This window comes from Homo sapiens, chromosome 6 (genome assembly GCF_000001405.40).
Source record: "Homo sapiens chromosome 6, GRCh38.p14 Primary Assembly".
Classification (NCBI taxonomy): domain Eukaryota; kingdom Metazoa; phylum Chordata; class Mammalia; order Primates; family Hominidae; genus Homo; species Homo sapiens.
In genome coordinates, this window is record NC_000006.12 from 121,950,129 (window position 1) to 121,968,825 (window position 18,697).

An 18,697-nucleotide genomic window follows, 5' to 3' on the forward strand; every position below is an offset into this window, starting at 1 on the left:
TTATCTATTCTTTCTATTTCACTGAAGAGTTTTCCTTTCATATCCTGTATCATGTTTTTGATTTATCTAAGTTGGACTTCACCTTTCTCTGGTGACTCCTTGATTAGCTTAATAATCAGCCTTCTGAATTCTTTTTCTGGCAATTCAGAGATTTTGTTTGGGTTTGGATCCATTGCTCGTAGCTGGTATGATCTTTTGTGAGTCCTAAAGAAGTTTGTTTTATCATATTATCAGAATTGTTTTTCTGGTTCCCCCTCATTTGGGTAGACTATGTCAGAGGGAAAATCTGAGACTCAGGGGCTGCTTTTCAGATTCTTTCGTCTCAAGGGTGTTCCCTTGATGTGGTGTTCTCCCCCTTCCCCTAAGAATGAGGCTCCCTGAGACCAAACTGTAGTGATTGTTTTTGCTCCTCTGTGTCTAGCCACCCAGCAGAGCTACTGGGCTCCAGGCTGATACTAAGGAGTGTCTGCAAAAAGTACCGTGATATGGTCCGTCTTTAGGTCTTGCAGCTATGGACACCAGCACCTGCCCTGGTGGAGGTAGCAGGGGAGTGAAATTGACTCTATGAGGGTTTTTGGTTGTGTTTTTGTTTAGTGCACTGGTTTTGTGTTGGTTGGAAGTGCACCTCCAGCCAGGAGGGGATGATTTCAAGAGCGCATCAGTTGTGGTCCTATAGGGAATATGCAAATTTGCCCTAGGGATACCTGGTTAAGTATTGGGGTTTCTCAGAAGGTAGGCAGGGCCATAGAGCTCCCAAAACATTATGACTATTGTCTGCAGCTACCATGGTGAATACAGAAAGACTACCAGGTTGGGGCAGGGATAGGTGTGTCTCAGCCCAGCCTCTCCTTGTGTGGGGCTTGTTGTGACTACTGTATGGGATGGGGGTGTGGTTCTCAGTCTAATGAAATTATATTCCCAGGGGGATTATAGCTGCCTCTGCTGCATCATATAGGTCACCAGGGAAATAGGGGAAAGCCGGCAGTCACAGGCCTCACCCTGCTCCCACACAGCCTGCAGTCCTAAAGGCTGGTCTCACTCCCACCATATCCCCTCAGCAGCACTGAGAATATTTCCAGGCAGCTGGTGACAGGCAGAGAACATGTCCCAGACCACCAGCCTCCCTCCTGAGAAAGCAATTCAACTCACAGTTTTTTTGGCATCTTGGAGAGCCTGCAGCAGTGATTCCGTTCCTTCAAAGGGTCTGTGGATTCTCTCGGCTTTCCTGCTATGTTCCTGTGATAGTTCTTGGAGCAAAAGTTCACTATGTGAGTCTCCACGCGCTGCTCTGTGCATCTGGGCAGGAACTGCAAGCTAGTCCTGCCTCCTATCCACCATCATCCTCTGCAAATAAATAATTTTCAACTGGCATTTATTATTAATCTGTTCCAGGCACTTAATACATGTACACATATTGTCTAGTCTCAATGACCACATTATAGAAGAAGATGTAAAGTAACTTGCCAAACATCCCACAGCCAGATAGTGGCAGAGCTAGAATTGATAGTGAGCAGAGAAAAGAACCATGCTCAAAAATCTTTTATTATTCTTTCTTTATTCTTGGTGTTCAATGAGTAATAACACAGTCTATTTGCTCTATAATCTTAAACTAAAACACGATGTGATAGGAAAGGATAAATTATAATAGTATCATCCTACTTCGTTTTATGGTAAAGCAAATCAGTCACCACAAGAGAGAAAATCACCACACACACACACACACACACACACACACACACACAATAAAATTGTGAAATTATACAAAGTATCATTTTGTTGTCAATATGCCCCTCCAAAGACTGAGTTGATTGTACTACACCTTCTCAGAGCTCTATCTGGGAAAGGATAAGAAGGTTCACATACTTCTTTTTTTTTTTTTTTTCCTAAATGGCAAAAAGCCCAGACTTTTTTGTTACCATTCCATGGTAAACATTTGTCTCTCCAGTCACCCAGATTCATGATTCATTTGTTAGGGGCTTAGTGGGCACATTTTGGCTGTCAGCCTGCCATGTGCCCATGCCGGGCATTGAGTGAGTTCTGTATAGAAGAAGTCTCTCCTTTTTGACCATACAAGAGCATGTGGATGGGCTTTCTAACCAGATGCAGTTTAGCAATGAGATAGGTATGCAACACAGGAAAGGCCTAAGGAGGCACCTCGCTCACGAATTACCACGGGTGCCACACTCAGCACTGAGCAGTGTTGGCCATGGACTACATTACAGCACAGTAGCTGTACTGTTTTATCGTGCCTGTTTATGTGTTAGATAGCACAGAGATGTGACTTCTTAAGGAACCATCACTGTTTGAAACACATAAAGCAAGCCTAGAACTGCTATATTATATGACAACTATGTGTTTGCTTTGTTTCATAATGATTCGTAATGGTCTTTTGAGCATTATGAATCAGGCTATACAGCCTCAGTTTTTACTTCATTTTAAAATGAGACTTCTATCAATACCAATTCTAAAAATGTCCATAAAACATCTGCACTGATGCCCCCTAACCTTGTTGGAGCTCAAGCTTTTGCCTTCAAGAAATCATTGTACAGAACAACAACAGTATAAAACTTGAATAGCTGAGAATGTAAATGTAGAGGAAGTAAACAGGCAAAGGATAGTTAAAACCACATCTTTTCTTTCTGTTAGGTTGGTGCCTTCTCTAACACTTTCTATGTTTCTTATTTCATTCATTCTTTTAATGAATAATTATTGTGTGCCTTCTATGTGCAAGGCACTGTAGTAGGAACAAAAATGGAGGAGATAATTTTGAGGCACAGAGTAGTTTGAGGGGTAGGCTGGTGCTGGGAAGTGTGCTAATAAGCCTAGTTTAAATTAGGAAATGAACATAGTATACCCAAATAACAGCAATATTCAAGTGAGAGAGGAATAAATATAAAGAAGTAAAAAAATTCCCATGTATATTGCCTATGCCAAATTTTATTCACAGCCAACCCTGTAGCCAGAAAGAAGTAAATATTTGTTCTCTGCCTCCCTCCTTCCTGAACTCAGAGTTCTGTCTCAAGCATAATAAGCACAATTCAACTTAATTACACATTCAATAGGTTTCAGGTGGGGAGAGGCTATAATTTAAAATATTTTCTATCAGAAAATATATTTTAAAAGCCAAACCATTTACAAGCAAATTTTGAGAACTGTGTGCACCTACATGGAATCATGTTCTTTCCTTTTCGTAGGACTTAACTCGTCATATAACTATATTCGTAATTATGCAATGATATAGAGCTTAGCTAACTATGTAAAGTTAGGCTGAATATGTAGCAAAATTTCATCTTCACAGTTAAAAGTTCAATATCTATTTATGGCCACTGTATTAGTCCATTTTCATGCTGCTGATAAAGACAATACCCAACACTGGGAAGAAAAAGAGGTTAAATTGGACTTATAGTTTCATATGACTGGGGAGGCCTCAGAATCATGGAGGGAGGTGAAAGGCACTTCTTTTTGTTTTTGTTTTGTTTTTGTTTTTGTTTTCACAGAGTCTCGCTCTGTCACCCAGGCTGGAGTGCAGTGGTGCGATCTCGGCTTACTGCAAGCTCTGCCTCCCGGGTTCACACCATTCTCCTGCCTTGGTCTCCCGAGTAGCTGGGACTACAGGCACCCGCCACCACGCCCGTCTAATTTTTTTGTGATTTTAGTAGAGACGGGGTTTCAGCATGTTAGCCAGGATGGTCTCGATCTCCTGACCTCGTGATCCATCTGCCTCAGCCTCCCAAAGTGCTGGGATTACAGGCGTGAGCCACTGTGCCCGGCCAAAAGGCACTTCTTACGTGGTGGTGGCAAGAGAAAGTGAGGAAGATGCAAAAGCAGAAACCCTTGATAAAACCATCAGATCTTGTGAGACTTATTCAGTACCATGAGAACAATATGAGGGAAACTACCCCCATAATTCAAATTATCTCCCATTGAGTCACTCCCACAATGCATGGGAATTATGGGAGTACAATTCAAGATGAGATTTGGGTGAGTACACAGAGCAAAACCATATCATTCCACCCATGACCCCTCCAAATCTCATTTCCTCTCATTTCAAAACCAATTATGCATTCCCAACAGTCTCCCAAAGTCTTAACTCATTTCAGCATTAGCCCAAAACTCCACAGTCCAAAGTCTCATCTGAGACAAGTCCAGTCCCTTCTGCCTATGAGCCTGTAAAATCAAAAGCAAGCTAGTTACTTCCTAGACACAATGAGAATACAGGTATTGGGTAAATACAGCCATTCCAAATGGGAAAAATTGGGCAAAACAAAGTGGTTACAGGGACTATGCAAGTCTGAAATCCAGTGGGGCAGTCAAAATTTAAAGCTCCAAAATGATCTCCTTTGATTCCATGTCTCACATCCAGGTCACACTGATGCAAAAGGTAGGTTCCCAAAGTCTTGGGCAACTCCACCCCTGTGTCTTTGCAGGGCATACCTCCCTCCTGGCTGCTTTCACAGGCTGGTGTTGAGTGTCTGTAGCTTTCCCAGGTGCATGGTGCAAGCCGTCGGTAAATATACCATTCTGGGGTCTGGAGGACAATGGCCATCTTCTCACAGCTCCACTAGGCAGTGCCTTAGTAGGAGCTCTGTGTGGGGGCTCCAAACCCACATTTCTCTACCACACTGCCCTAGCAGAGGTTCTCCATGAGGGCCCCACCCTGCAGCAAACTTTTGCCTGGGCATCCAGGCATTTCCATACATCTTCTGAAATCTAGGTGGAGGTTCCCAAACCTCAATTCTTGACTTCTGTGCACCTGCCAGCTCAACACCACGTGGAGGCTGCCAAGATTTGGGGCTTGCACCCTCTGAAGCCATAAGCCAAGCTGTACCTTGGCCCCTTTTAGCAGTGGCTGGAGCAGCTGGGATATAGGGCACCAAGTCCCTAGGCTGCACACACAGCATGGGGACCCTAGGACTGGCCCACAAAACCATTTTTTCCTCCTAGCCTTCTGGGTCTGTGAAGGGAGGGGCTGCCATGAAGTCCTATGACATGCTCTGGAGACATTTTTCCCATTGTCTTGGGGATTAACATTGGGCTCCTTGTTACTTATGCAAATTTCTGCAGCCAACTTGAATTTCTCCTCAAAAAATGGGTTTTTCTTTTCTACTGCATCATCAGGCTGCAAATTTTCTGAACTTTTATGTTTTGTTTCCCTTTTAAAATGGAATGCTTTTAACAGCACCCAAGTCACTTTTTTTTTTTTTTTTCAGACGAAGTCTTTGTCGTCCAGGCTAGAGTGCAGCTGTGTGATCTCAGCTCATTGTAACCTCCACCTCCTGATACAAGCAATTCTTCTGCCTCAGCCTCCTGAGTAGGTGGGACTACAGGTATATGCCACCACGCCCAGCTAATTTTTGTATTTTTAGTAGAGATGGGTTTCACTATGTTGGCCAGGCTGGTCCCAAACTCCTGACTCAAGTGATCCACCCACCTCAGCCTCCCAAAGTGCTGGGATTACAGGCATGAGTCACCGTGACTGGCCCCAAGTCACATCTTTAATGGTTTGTTGCTTAGAAACTTATTCTGCCAGATACCCTAAATTATCTCTCTCAAGTTCAAAGTTCCACAAATCTCTAGGACAGGGGCAAAATGCTGCCCATCTCTTGGCTAAAACATAGTAAGAGTCACCTTTGCTCCAGTTCCCAATAAATTCTTCATCTTCAACTGAGACCACCTCAGCCAGGACCTTATTATTCATATCACTATCAGGCTTTAGGTCAAAGCCATTCAACAAGTCACAGGGAAGTTCCAAACTTTCCCACATTTTCCTCTCTTCTTCTGAGCCCTCCAAACTGTTCCAGCCTCTGCCTGTTACCCAGTTCCAAAGTCACTTCCACATGTTTGGGTATCTTTTCAGCAATATCCCACTCTACTGATACCAATTTACTGTATTAGTCCATTTTCATGCTGCTGATAAAGACATACCCAAGATTGGGAAGAAAAAGAGGTTTAATTGGACTTACAGTTTGACGTGGCTGGGGATAACTCAGAATCTTGGTGGCAGGTGAAAGGTACTTCTTATATGGTGGTAGCAAGAGAAAATGAGGAATATGCAAAAGGAGAAACCCCTGACAAAACAATCAGATCTCATGAGACTTATTCACTACCATGAGAACAGTATGAGGGAAACCGCCCCATGATTCAAATTATCTTCCACTGGGTTCCTCCTACAACACTTGGGAATTATGGGAGTACAATTCAAAATGAGATTTGGGTGGGGACAAAGAGCCGAACCATATCACACACTATCTTTCTACCTATTATGGATTCAAAACTGTTTGTGTGTGTGTGTGTGTGGATTTCTAGTATGAGACTTTTTATCCTAAACATTTACCAATAATACATTAATTATAACTTAAAGTATTTTCTCCTTGAAGTTAAATTTGTGGTAGAATTCTTAAACTTTAAAAACTTAGAATTCATTCAATCCTTTTTTTGGGTGAAGTTTTTGAAGCAGTGAAAGAAAGGATTTTTTTTTCGATTCTGTACCAAGATCATTCCAACACTACATAATTACAGTCTTGTGAGTAATTTTAAATGATTTTCTGAGAGATCAGCTTAGTTACTGAACAAAATTTAACAAAAAAATTAGTTAAATCTGAAGTTGCTATGCTTATGGTGCAGGTACATTCTTACATTCTTTTTCTTCTCCAAAATTTTTCAGATCCAAACACCATATCAGAGTTAATTGCTTTTTAGGGCTTATATTTAGAGACATTTTAATAAAAGTCATGAGACTTCATCCTGTGTTTTTATGGGACTTGAATCTAAAGAGATGAATCCGAGTGGTTGTTAAATCTGAATTAATATTGTTGACATTCCATTGGCAACACAACTGCTGATTTGGAATATCTGTTGTGACTTTAGTACACTTTAGTCATGAAGATTGAGTGCAAAATATTATAAGATTTCAAAAAAATTTTGAAAAGTTCATTTTGGGTCACAAATGTGGTTCCCACTTGTATTTCTCTAGTTACATTTTAACAGCAGAGTAAATGTCCAGCACGACTGACATTCTGGGAAAAAGAATTAACTAAGAGGTTTTTCAAGTTTTATGAATAGAAAAATCACAAGAGAATTCAGATAGCCCCAAAAAGCTGTTGACATATTATGGTAGAAATCCCTGCTCACTAAGGAGTACTTACAGAATAATCATTCAGAGAAAGGTGAATTTTGGCTATGCCACTTCATAGCTCAGAACTTGTGATTTTATGCAAAATACTTCAACATTCTTGGCCTTGATGTCCACATATGTAAAATGAGAGAAATAATGGATACTATATAGAGTTATTATAAGGATGAAATGAGATCATGAAAAAAAGTGGCTGAGACATTGTAGCTTTGCAATACGTGGTAGCTGTATAGCTGTATATGCCAGGAAAATAAATGCTGAACAATAATGAGTGACTAAATCACAACAATCTTGTGAATTCTGGGCCCGAGTCCTAAAGAACTTGTGAAAAACCACGACCTTTTCATTGACTGGTATGTGTTTTGTGTAAGAAACATGTTTATAATGTATGAGAGATTGAAGTTCAATTCTCTTATTTTCTTTCACTCAAGAGACATCATAGTGTCATGCTCTCAATATTGTTCTTTTTAATACTTATTTGAAGAACTGAGTCTATGCTGCCTAAGAATTTATGATTGGTAATGGGAATTAATCATATAAACTAGACCCTGCGTATGTGTTAGCTAATGCTTTACCTTTGTTTAGTCTAGAAATGCCTTAACTTTATTAAATACCTACCTCTTAAAAAAGTACTAAGAAATTGCATTGTTGGAAATTTTAGGAAAGACTACGTGGGGTGATTTGGGGAGTTGTCCTATAAATTATCTTTGCAGACTTCTGGGTACCCTTCTGCGCATAAGGCAAGTTCTGCCTGTAGCTTCTCTGCTGTTTTCACGTTCCACTTCAGGTAAACGAGGGACTGTGCTGTTTAATCACACGAGCCTATGTGACATAATTTATGCACATAAGCATAATATGATTTATCTGCACAAAAAAAAAGACAAACAATATAGAAAAGCAATGTACACAAAGAAATTCACAACAGTATTTTTTATAGTAATATTAGAAATGACCTAATCACTCACAAGAGGGAAATGACTGGATAATTATCAAATTAAGTCAATGAAATATTAGTTGCTAAAGTAGTAATTATGAACATGACAATGTCATAATATAATGTTACTTAAATAAAACAGAACAAAGATTGCATTTCCTCATCATTACAACTTCAGAAAATATGTAAGCATGGATAAATTCTAGAAGTAAAAACCAAAAATCATACATGATAGTGAAAATTGTGTGTATTTGCCCTTTCTTTTTAACTTTCCTCTACTGCCATAATTATGCTGGTACAAAAGAAATAAATATAGAGTAAGCAATAAAAAATTCAATGTGATCTACAAAATGTATAGCACTGTATAAAATATGTTCAAGTATTATTCTGTATGTAAAAGTTTAACTTCAGACTATTTAAATTAATAATTATAGGTATAGTTGAATACATACAGTAATGTTTGTCAGTTAGTATATCTAAAAAAAAAAAAAACCAGAGTAAATGAATTAGAAGTAGAAGACACAAATTATTGCCTCTACTAAGCCACTAAGTGACAATTTAACTTGAGACGGTTTATTTTTCTGAAACTGAATTTTAACTGTAAAACTCAGGAATTGACCAAGATTCTTTCAGGTATGTTTCCAGTCTGAAGTTTTTTTATTCTGAGCCTAAAGCTCTCTATCCAAGCTTTATGTAATGTTTACACCCTTTATTTCAGGCACTATCCTTATAATAATACTAATTACTACTATTGTATTTATTAGAACATCTGCTGGAAATGTGACTTAATTAAATCTTAAATGATTACAAGTTATATCCACTATTTAAAATTTCTTCTCAGCTCCCTATCAATCTTAAGAATTTTATCTTTGGAGATAGCTAAGGTAAAAATTATATATATATATGATTTCTTTTATATATAAATATATGAAAAATATATATTCTTTCATATATATAAATTTTATATATGATATATATAATTACTCTATCTGAAAATGAAAACTAAAGTGTATTTTTATACCTGCTTTTTGTTCTTTTTAAACTTTTCAACCTAAAAAGTGTTTGTGCACAATTTTAATTTTGCAATTTAATTAGATCATAGAATTATAAGATACAATTTTTTGTAAGAATATAATTGGATAAGGTTTTTTAAATTAACAGACTAATTAAAAATTGGTAAGAATTTGAAGTGATCAAATTAGTTTATGAATATAAAACAAACTACCGAGGGTATTTAGAAATAAGCTCCAGCAAGGAACTTCAGACTGTCTTAAACAAAACATATTCTCATTCTTACCTGCTCCTTACAACTGATTAGAACAATTACAAATGAGCTATAAAGTTAGGGCCATCGAGAGGCAGCTTGCTTTTTGATATTTTCAGTGTCAGGAATGAAATGAATTGCCTTCAATCAAGGACTGGTAATTACCACAATTCAGGAGCTCACCACCTACAGGAAATGAAAAGACAGAACATAAAGTGTGTTATAGCAGCTTACGTTGCTTTGATCTTCAGCAAAACTCCATTTGCTGCAGTATCCTGGCATTCTCCACTTTATTGAATGTGAGGGTTCGTAATGGACACGGCGAGTTACTGACTAATTTCAGTGAGGAAACTCCACCTCTTTCTCTCTTATTTTCATGTTTGACAAGAAGCTCTTTCTCCTACAGATAAACACCTTAAACTTTATCTGATATGGCATGAAGTAAAACAGTGTCAATTTGAGGACACAGACAAGTTTGAATGAGCTACATAAACATTTAGGCTTTGTTGGACCAACTAAATTTTATTATAAATCTCTCCTCAAACACGTTATAGTCTGCACTCAAAGTCGCTTGTCCAATAAAAGCCTATTTATTTTTTACCTCTATATTTACTTGTACCAGCACATAGAAATTTTTAAGACTCAAGAGAAGACAAATCACAAAATATTCAGCACCAGAAACCCCACATTTTAAAATTCCATGGGGTTTGGGGTTTGATTATTTAGCACAAGCTGTGGGTCAGATGAAAGACATTCTGGTCAGAGGGTTTATAATTTTAGATGCTTTATTTCCTGTGTAATATTTATGATGTGGCATTTCTGGAAATAAATGGTCAGGGAAGGTACAGAGAGCAACATTTTCATGAGAGCTGGTAGAAAGTTTGGCGATAGAGATACAATAACAGGTAAAATAAACTCTTCCCATAACCCCTTTTTGTCTTACACACAAGCAACCCCTCTCTTGAGATAGGCTAACCCAATAAAGCCTGGTTGAGGTATGTCTGTTCATTAATCCAACATTTAATAATTCTCTCCCATGTACCAGGCACTGTACAAGGCACCAGATCTGGCAATGACTACCAAGGCAACCTCTAATAGGAGCAAATGCTCATTTAAAACCCTCCAGCCAACATGGCAAAACTCCATCTCTACTAAAATTACACAAGTTAGCTGGGCGCGGTGGTGCGTGCCTGTAATCCCAGGTATTCGGGAGGCTGAGACAAGAGAATCGCTTGAACCCAGGAGGCGGAGGTTGCAGTGAGCCGAGATTGTGCCACTGCACTCCAGCCTGGGCGACAGAGCAAGACTGTTTCAAAAAAAAAAAAAAAAGCCTCCAGCCTAAAATGACTCCTTTAGTTTTTGTCCACTGGTCATTCTATGTAACCCATTTAGAATCTGGCTTTTAAACTAAGATAATTAAAGTGAGATTAAGAAACTATTAAGACTGACAGGAGAAAAATGTCAGCAAGGACCTTTAGGTTTATCTACTGAATTTGTCTCATGAAATGCTATTCAGTGACATTTACTAAACTGAAGTAGCTACAACTATGTACTTCTAATTGGAAAAAAATTTCATGTAGCTTGAATATGGGTATGGGAATAAGGGGAAAATGAGAGTTACTTAACTGCTGTGGTTTGAATGTGTCCCCCAAAGTTCAGGTATTGGAAATTTAATTCTCACTGCAACAGTATTGAGAGTTGGGATCTCTAGGAGGTAATTAGATCGTGAGGGCTGTGCCCTGGATTAATGCTGTTATCACAGGAATGGGTTAATTATCATGGGAACAGGTTCCTGATAAAGGTGATTTCAACTCTGTCTTGCCTTCTCATGCTTTCTTACCCTTCCACCTTCTGCCATAGGATGATGCAACAGAAAAGCCGTCACCAGATACCAGCACCTTAATGTTGGACTTCTCAGCCTCCAGAACTGTAAGAAATAAATCCCTGTTCTTTATAAATTACCCAGTCTCAGGTATCCTGCTATAGCAGCACAAAATGGACTATGATAGAAAATTGGTATGAAGGAGTAGTACCATTGTTATAACAAATACCTAAAAATGGAAGCCACTCTGGAACTGGGTAAGGGGTAGAGTATGGAAGAATTTAGAGGAGCAGGCTAGAAAAAGCCTAAATTGCTGTGTATTACTCCAGGATGGTAAGAAATAAATCTCTGTTCTTTATAAATTGCCCAGACTCACAGCACAAAACAAATTAAGACATTAAGATTTGCCCCATTCTTAGAATTCATTTCTTCCATTTTCCCTTTAATTAAATCAATGCCAGCATCTAAGCAGTGTGCACCTTTTGACCATAGTCTTTCTAATTGACCAGAAGCTTAGATGTGGAAAATGCAAAAACTATGCACATTTCTGATGGGTTTAACTTCTGAGAAATTTTTACAAGGTTTTCCTTATTTTATCTGCTCCAGTAAACCTGTGGTTTCATGAACAGGCCTAGAATTTGAGATTCAGCTTCTAAACTTCAAAGGTGACCTTTCAACCCATTTGTTTATAGACTCGGTATTAACCTTTTGAGTTCTAGAATAGGGTTTTAGAACTTACTTTCATAAAAGTTTATATAGTCAATTCCATTCATTTATGCTAAGGACATAGAATATTTCTAGATTGCACAATATGTTTCTGTGGGAATTGAATGGAAATCCAGGTTTCCTGACAAGAAACAAAGGATCTTTGGGAGGCCGAGACAGGCGGATCACGAGGTCAGGAGATCGAGACCATCCTGGCTAACACGGTGAAACCCCGTCTCTACTAAAAATACAAAACTTAGCCGGGCATGGTGGCGTGCGCCTGTAGTCCCAGCTACACGGGAGGCTGAGGCAGGAGAATGGTGTGAACCCGGGAGGCGGAGCTTGCAGTGAGTCGAGATCACGCCACTGCACTCCAGCCTGGGTGACAGAGCGAGACTCCGTCTCAAAAAAAAAAAAAGAAAAAAAAGAAACAAAGGATCTCTTAGTCTCTCTTGATCCCAGTCACTTCTGAAGAAAAAAAATTATTTACCTGAAGTCCATTGCTTCCTTGTGGGATTCTTTTTTTTTAAATGCTGGATTGTGGATTAAATAAAAAGATCTGAGAAATAGGTCAGAAATTAAATCCTGGTGTTGTCATGGTGTTTTTTAAATAGCACCCTTGAAATTGGTTGCAGAACATACATTTTATCTGATTCTAATTATGTGGAATTTCGAAGTCATTTTGGTAACAGAACTACTCTAACCTGTTATTAAACTCAGGATTTTTTTAAGAAATAAAAATTGCTTGGTAAGAATGTTAACGTTTAAAAAACTATTAATGAATCAGACCAACAAAGCCTACTCAAATGAATCTGTATCTTTATTCATGGTTCAAGCATTACTTCCACTTAACTAAAAATGAATATATCCTCTGGAACTTAAAATAAAGGTTGAAAAAAAATGAATGCATATTTAATCTTTTATGGTTACAGATATAATAGAAAAATTGTTTCTGCCTCAAAACCCTACTTTTAAATAATTAATGAAATATAGACAATAATGTCTCTAAAATTGCATTTCCCAGGGATATATCTATTTAACTCCTGATTCTTTTGTTAACATCACCAATACATGGGAAAAGAAACTGAAGCTTTTTAAATTACATGCTAATATATGGCCATCAATTTTAAGGGATTTTGAAAAGTCCGCAATAGTAAAAATAGAGTAGGAAAAATTATAGTGAAGAAATAAAATAAAATAAATTAGCTAAACAATTAGGCTCTATTTATTTGAAGGAAGTATTTAGAAGTATGTGCTGATTCTTATGTTCTCATACTTCAAGATGAGATCATGTTGGCATGCACTATTAGGGCCCTCACTCTTGTCCATATTGTTTTGGCAAGCTTTAAGCAGGTGGCTCTGTAATATGGTAATACCTTCTCTTTGGATAACTCTTCATTTCAAAGCAATCTGTAGACATTACACCTTTAATTACAGGAGACCTCAAGGCACAAAGCAAAAGAAGAATGAATTTCATCATGGGAATATACAAAGCAAGGCATTAACATCTATAGTTAAATAAGTCAGCATCAAACTTCTTGCTGTACCACCCACCATTTCACACAGTTCAGCTAGCTGACTCGTTCATACTTTAAGGCTAATCAGAATAAATTAATGATTCATCACTAATAAAGATGCAGAGTGTGTACCTTTATTCTTCAGTAGGGTAACGTGACCCTTCTGAGTACTTCTGGAGCAAATGTGTATGAAGTGCTAGGTTTTTTGTCACTAAGTCTATGTACTCAGAAAAGACACAAATTTTCAGTATTCTGGTTTACCACTTGCCAGGCAAAGGAAACTGTAAATAAATGTTTCACCACATATTTATGTGAAAAAAATTAATTGGTGGATGGGCTTTGTTGTGATTCTTAATAATAATGAATCATAGTTTTACACATATAGTAGGATGAAGCATTTGAGATTTGATTCTAGCATTTCTGTCTATGTGTTTATAATTTATCCAATGGAAGTATTAAAAGAAAAGCTTTTTGGGAGGCCTTATTTGAGTTCAGAAGTCTCACACGCACTTCTGTCAAGTGATGTAATAGGAATGTGTTTAAGATCAGCAGATGATATATTGAGTGTAAACATAATGTGCTCATGATGAAAGCCAAAACACTAATTTAATTGATTGGAAGAAAACAGAAATTCACCAGGAGTCAAAATCCCAAATAAGAGGTCCGTGTTTTCAAGGCTTATTTTAATAGTATTAACTACTTCAACAAATTATTTTTCTTTGCTTTTTTCCATTCACTTAAAAATATTTAATGGTTTTATTGAACTATATTTTACATATAAAATTCGCCCGTTGAAAATATGCAACTTGATGATTTTTAGTAAAATTTAGAATTGTGCAAATATGATAGATTCCATTTTAGATAATTTCTGTCATTCTAAAAAGATCTTTAATGTCCATTTTTAGTGAAATCTGCTCCCACCCCCAGTCCCAGCAAACACTGATAAAATTTTCATCTACTTATTTTTGCTTTTCCTAGAAATTTCATATAAAAAGTGTGGTTTGCAAAATAAAATCCCCTGCACTTGTGAATGTTATATCACATTGGAAAGGGGACTTCGCCAACGTAAATTGCGTACAAATGCGGAGATTATCCAGGACTATCTGGATGGGCCCAATGTAATCAATTCAGCCCTTAAAAGCACAGAAACTTTCTCAGCTGGGTCAGAGAGATACAATAATGGAAGAAGAGTCAGAGAGATGCAATGCAAGAAAGACTCAGTCTGCCATTGATGGCTTTGAAGTTAGAGGAAGGGAGCCATGAGTCAAGAAATGGAGGGGACCTCTAGAAGGGAACAGTCAGAGAAATAGATTACCCTCTAGAGCCTCCAGAAAGAGACACGGCCCTGTCAATTTAGCTTAGTGAGACCCATGTCAGGCTTATGGCCTCCAAAATGATAAGATAATACATTTGTATTGTTTTATGTCATTAAGTTTGTAGGAATTATTATGGTAGCAATATAAAACTCATAGAAATGACTTCTTTCATTTTGTATTATTTTGAGATGCATTCATTTTGTTGCATGGATCATTCTATTTTATTGCTGAGTATCATTCTATTGTATTGACACCAAACTTTGTTTTTCCAATCACCTGTTGGTGGGCATTTGGGTCGTTTCCAGTTTTTGGCTATTGTAAGTGATGATTTTATAAACATTTATGTACAAATCTTTTTGTGGATATCTAAATATATGATTCTGTTTCTCTTGGATAAATACCTAAGATTAGAATTGCTGAGTCATATGGTAAAGGGATACTTAACTTTTAAAACCTCCCAAACTGTTCTTCAAAATGGTTGTGCCATTTTACATCCCCACCAATAATGTATAAAGGTTCCAGTTTCTCGAAATATTTGCCAACACTTGGTATGGTCAGTCTTTTTGATTCTAGTCATTCTAGTGGGTATATAATGATATCTCATTGTAATTTTAATTTGCATTATCCTAATGACTGATGATGTTGAGCATGTCTTCATTTGGTGTTTTTATTATTATTTTTAGCCATACATATATCTTCTTTAGTGAAATGCCTATTGAAATATTTTTCCCATTTTCTTGTTGAGTTATTTGTCACCTTATTACTGAGCTTCAAAAGTTCTTTATGTATTCTGTTCAATAGCCAGATGACCTCACCTTCTAGCATTCACACCCTTGAGTAGTGCCTTCCTCATTGCTCCAGGATTGGTCTGACCAACAGAACCAAACAACATATGGCAGAAATGGTGGTATATCACTTCCAAGGTTAGGTTATAAGAGACTGTGTTTTCCATCTCAGCTTCTTTTTCTCCCCTGCCAAACCCCTTTGCATCATTCATTCTGGAGAATCCAGCTGCCGTGTCTTGAGGACAATCAGATGGCCTATAAAGGGCCCCTGGGACAAGGAACTGAGGTATTTTTCCAACAGCCAACAAGGAACCGAGGCCTGCCAACAACCGTATGAGTGAGCACGGAATTGTCTAGCTCCAGATGACTGTGGCTTTGGCCAACAGCTTGTCTTGAGACACCCTGAGCCAGCACCACTCAGCTAAGCCACTTCCAGATTCCTGCCCCTCAAAACTGTATGGCTTGTTGTTTTGAGATGCTAAGTATTAAGAGTAATTCAGCAATAGATGACAACTATATTCTGGATACAAGTGTTTATTATATGTATGATTTGCAAATATATTTCTCACTTTGTGGTTTGTCTTTCCATTTTTGAAATGGGATCTTTCGAATACCATCAGTTTTCAATTTCGATGAAGTCAAATTCGCCAATTTTTATTTTGTGAATCAGGCTTTCAGAATCATGTCTAAGAAATTCTTGCCTAAGGACACACATTGTTTATCGGATGTCTTCTTCTAAAATGTGGATAGTTTTAATTTTTCTACTTATGTCTCAGATCCATGTTTATTTAAATTTGTATATGATGTAAAGTAAGCATCTGAGATTTTTTGTTTTGGTTTGGTTTGGTTTTTGTTTTGCATATAGCAATCCATTTGTTCTAACACCACTTGTGGTAAAGATTATTGTTTTCCTCTTGAATTGCCTAGGCATCTTTGTTAAAAATCAATTTACTGTAAATGTGTGGGTTTTTTACTGGGTTCTTCATCCAGTTTTATTGATCTACATATCTATTATTATACTGATGTCATACTGCATTGATTACTGTAACTTTGTATTAAAATTTGAAATTGCACAGGTCCTCCAACTTCATGCTTCTTTTTCAAAACGTAAATTGGAATCATGGCTATTTGTTATTAACAAACTCTTCTTTCAACAGCATAATAATATTTTTGAAATGAATAAAACAGATGAATCAGTTTTGATAAAAATTAAGATATCCAAAATGTTTTCAGAGGTTTTTACCATAGTAAAAAAAAAATACAAACTTAAATAACTATTATTCACCTATGGTTTTCTCAATGGCTACATTTCATAATGTTAGGACTGATTAACACCAAAAGCAATATCCAATATAAAAAAGCAATGATGTCTTTTGAAAGGATTTTAACTATTTATTGATAGCATGTAACTTTATTAAGAAAACAGGTAACATGAACAAAAATTTAAATTATTTTTCAGCACTTATCTATTGGTCATGAGAATTTAGAAGCTAAATCCTCATATTGCTTTTAGTGGCATAAATTGTTCCAAAAAATGTTTGGAGAATAATTCATAGATTTCAAGGAATATTTTAAGATTACTTTTGTACTGTTTATCAAAACTGCTTATTATTTTCTGTTTTTTTTTGTTTTTTTATTGTTTTTGCTTTTCCTGAAAGAGTACAAATATCAATTGAATTAAACTTTTCTGTATATTATTTCAAAGTATTAAAAATAGTACCCAGTGGCAATTTTTTGTTCATCAAGACACTGTGAAAAATTGCCAATATTATGCAAAAATAAGGTTGTTTTTATTAGGACTATTCCTATTTACTACTTAAATTGGATAAGCTTTAAAGCATCATGTACAGACTTAAAAAGCTTTGTCCTTATTGACACTCAAAAAACCCAGGAAATCTGGACATTTAATTTTCTACTACCTCTTTCATGAAAAAGCATAATAAAGATTTTCTTGTTTTACTCTCTATGTTCCTGTTGTATCAATGCTATCAGTCTAAGAAGAATCATTTAAAAGTTTGATTAAGTGAAATATCTGAGAGTTATTAGCTGGTACACTCATTTTGCAGTCTGTGTAAACAGGATGATTACCTCTAGTGTTGGATCTCTGTCACTATCAGACAATTCCAAAATGAACGAAAATGTCAAAATCTGAAATTTCCTGTTTACTTCTGACTCTGAAAAGAGTCAACAAGGCATATGTGACATTTAGCCTAATTACCATGGTTGCAAAAAATCATTTAGAAAAGTGTCAGTGAACATAAACTAATATCCTTCATCTCATATTAACCGGTTTAATAGTTTTCTCTAAATCTTTATGGAAGATAATTTGGAAAGGTCTTTCATTGTCAGTTTACATTTGAGTTGGGTTGTGTAAATATGTGGAAGTATATCTGGGCATCTTTCAAGATCAGTTAATTTGGGGTTAGGGTTAATCCAAAATTCTTCTATTTGGCATATACTAGCGTATCTACTAAAATTCAATAAAATGGGTAGCCTATATAGAGGTATTACTTATATAAATTATAAGAAGGCTCCAAAAATGATTAGAATATGTTAAATGACACATGTAACAAGATAATAGGCAAATTACTGAAAATTGCTTTTCCTATGAGAGCTAATGCTAAACTTCAGTTTTTGCTGAACTTTAGTTTTTGCTGTTATGTCTGCCACTAGATGAGGTATGTCTGAATATACCACCCAGAGTGCAGGCAGAAATTTCTATGTTTGAAAATTTTAAAAATAAATAAAGCTAGATTTATTTCATGAAATAAAAGTGTTTTGAATCTCACTTAATTAAATAAAAATGGTAAAGAACAAAGCACAGTGATTTCAATGCTGAGATCTGTGCTCCACAGACAAAGATTCCATTTCTGACCGACACATTGATATGCTTTCAGGAAGCAGTAATGCCATCAAAACATTAAGTTCAGATACCCTGAACTCTTTACTGACTGATTTGTCAATCAGCCCTCTGCATTTTTTTCTGATCCAATCTTTTATTACATATGCATTTGTAAAAATTGAAGTCCTGCCATTTGTTACTTTATTTTTCTGTATTTATATATTTTAAATTTTATTAAGAAAACAGGTAACATGAACAAACATTTAAACTATTTTTCAGCACTTACCTGTTAGTCATGAGAATTTAGAAACTAAATTTTCATAATGCTGTTAGTGGCATAGGAAATTGTTCCAAAAAAATGTTTGGAGAATAATTCATAG

General features: G+C 36.6%; 1 long non-coding RNA gene across 7 annotated transcripts in view; it reads left to right on the forward strand.

Annotated features, from left to right (window-relative positions):
• LOC105377979 (uncharacterized) overlaps positions 1 to 18,697 on the forward strand; it is a 288,164-nt gene that overhangs the window by 182,750 nt on the left and 86,717 nt on the right. For 4 of the 7 annotated variants that reach the window (XR_942936.3, XR_942937.4, XR_001744325.2 and 1 more), the window contains one exon: positions 11,191 to 16,560. This is a non-coding gene — a long non-coding RNA (uncharacterized LOC105377979). Of the gene's footprint in view, positions 1 to 11,190; positions 16,561 to 18,697 lie in introns of those variants that run through there. The other 3 variants (XR_001744323.2, XR_001744324.2, XR_001744321.2) reach the window with 2 other exon arrangements.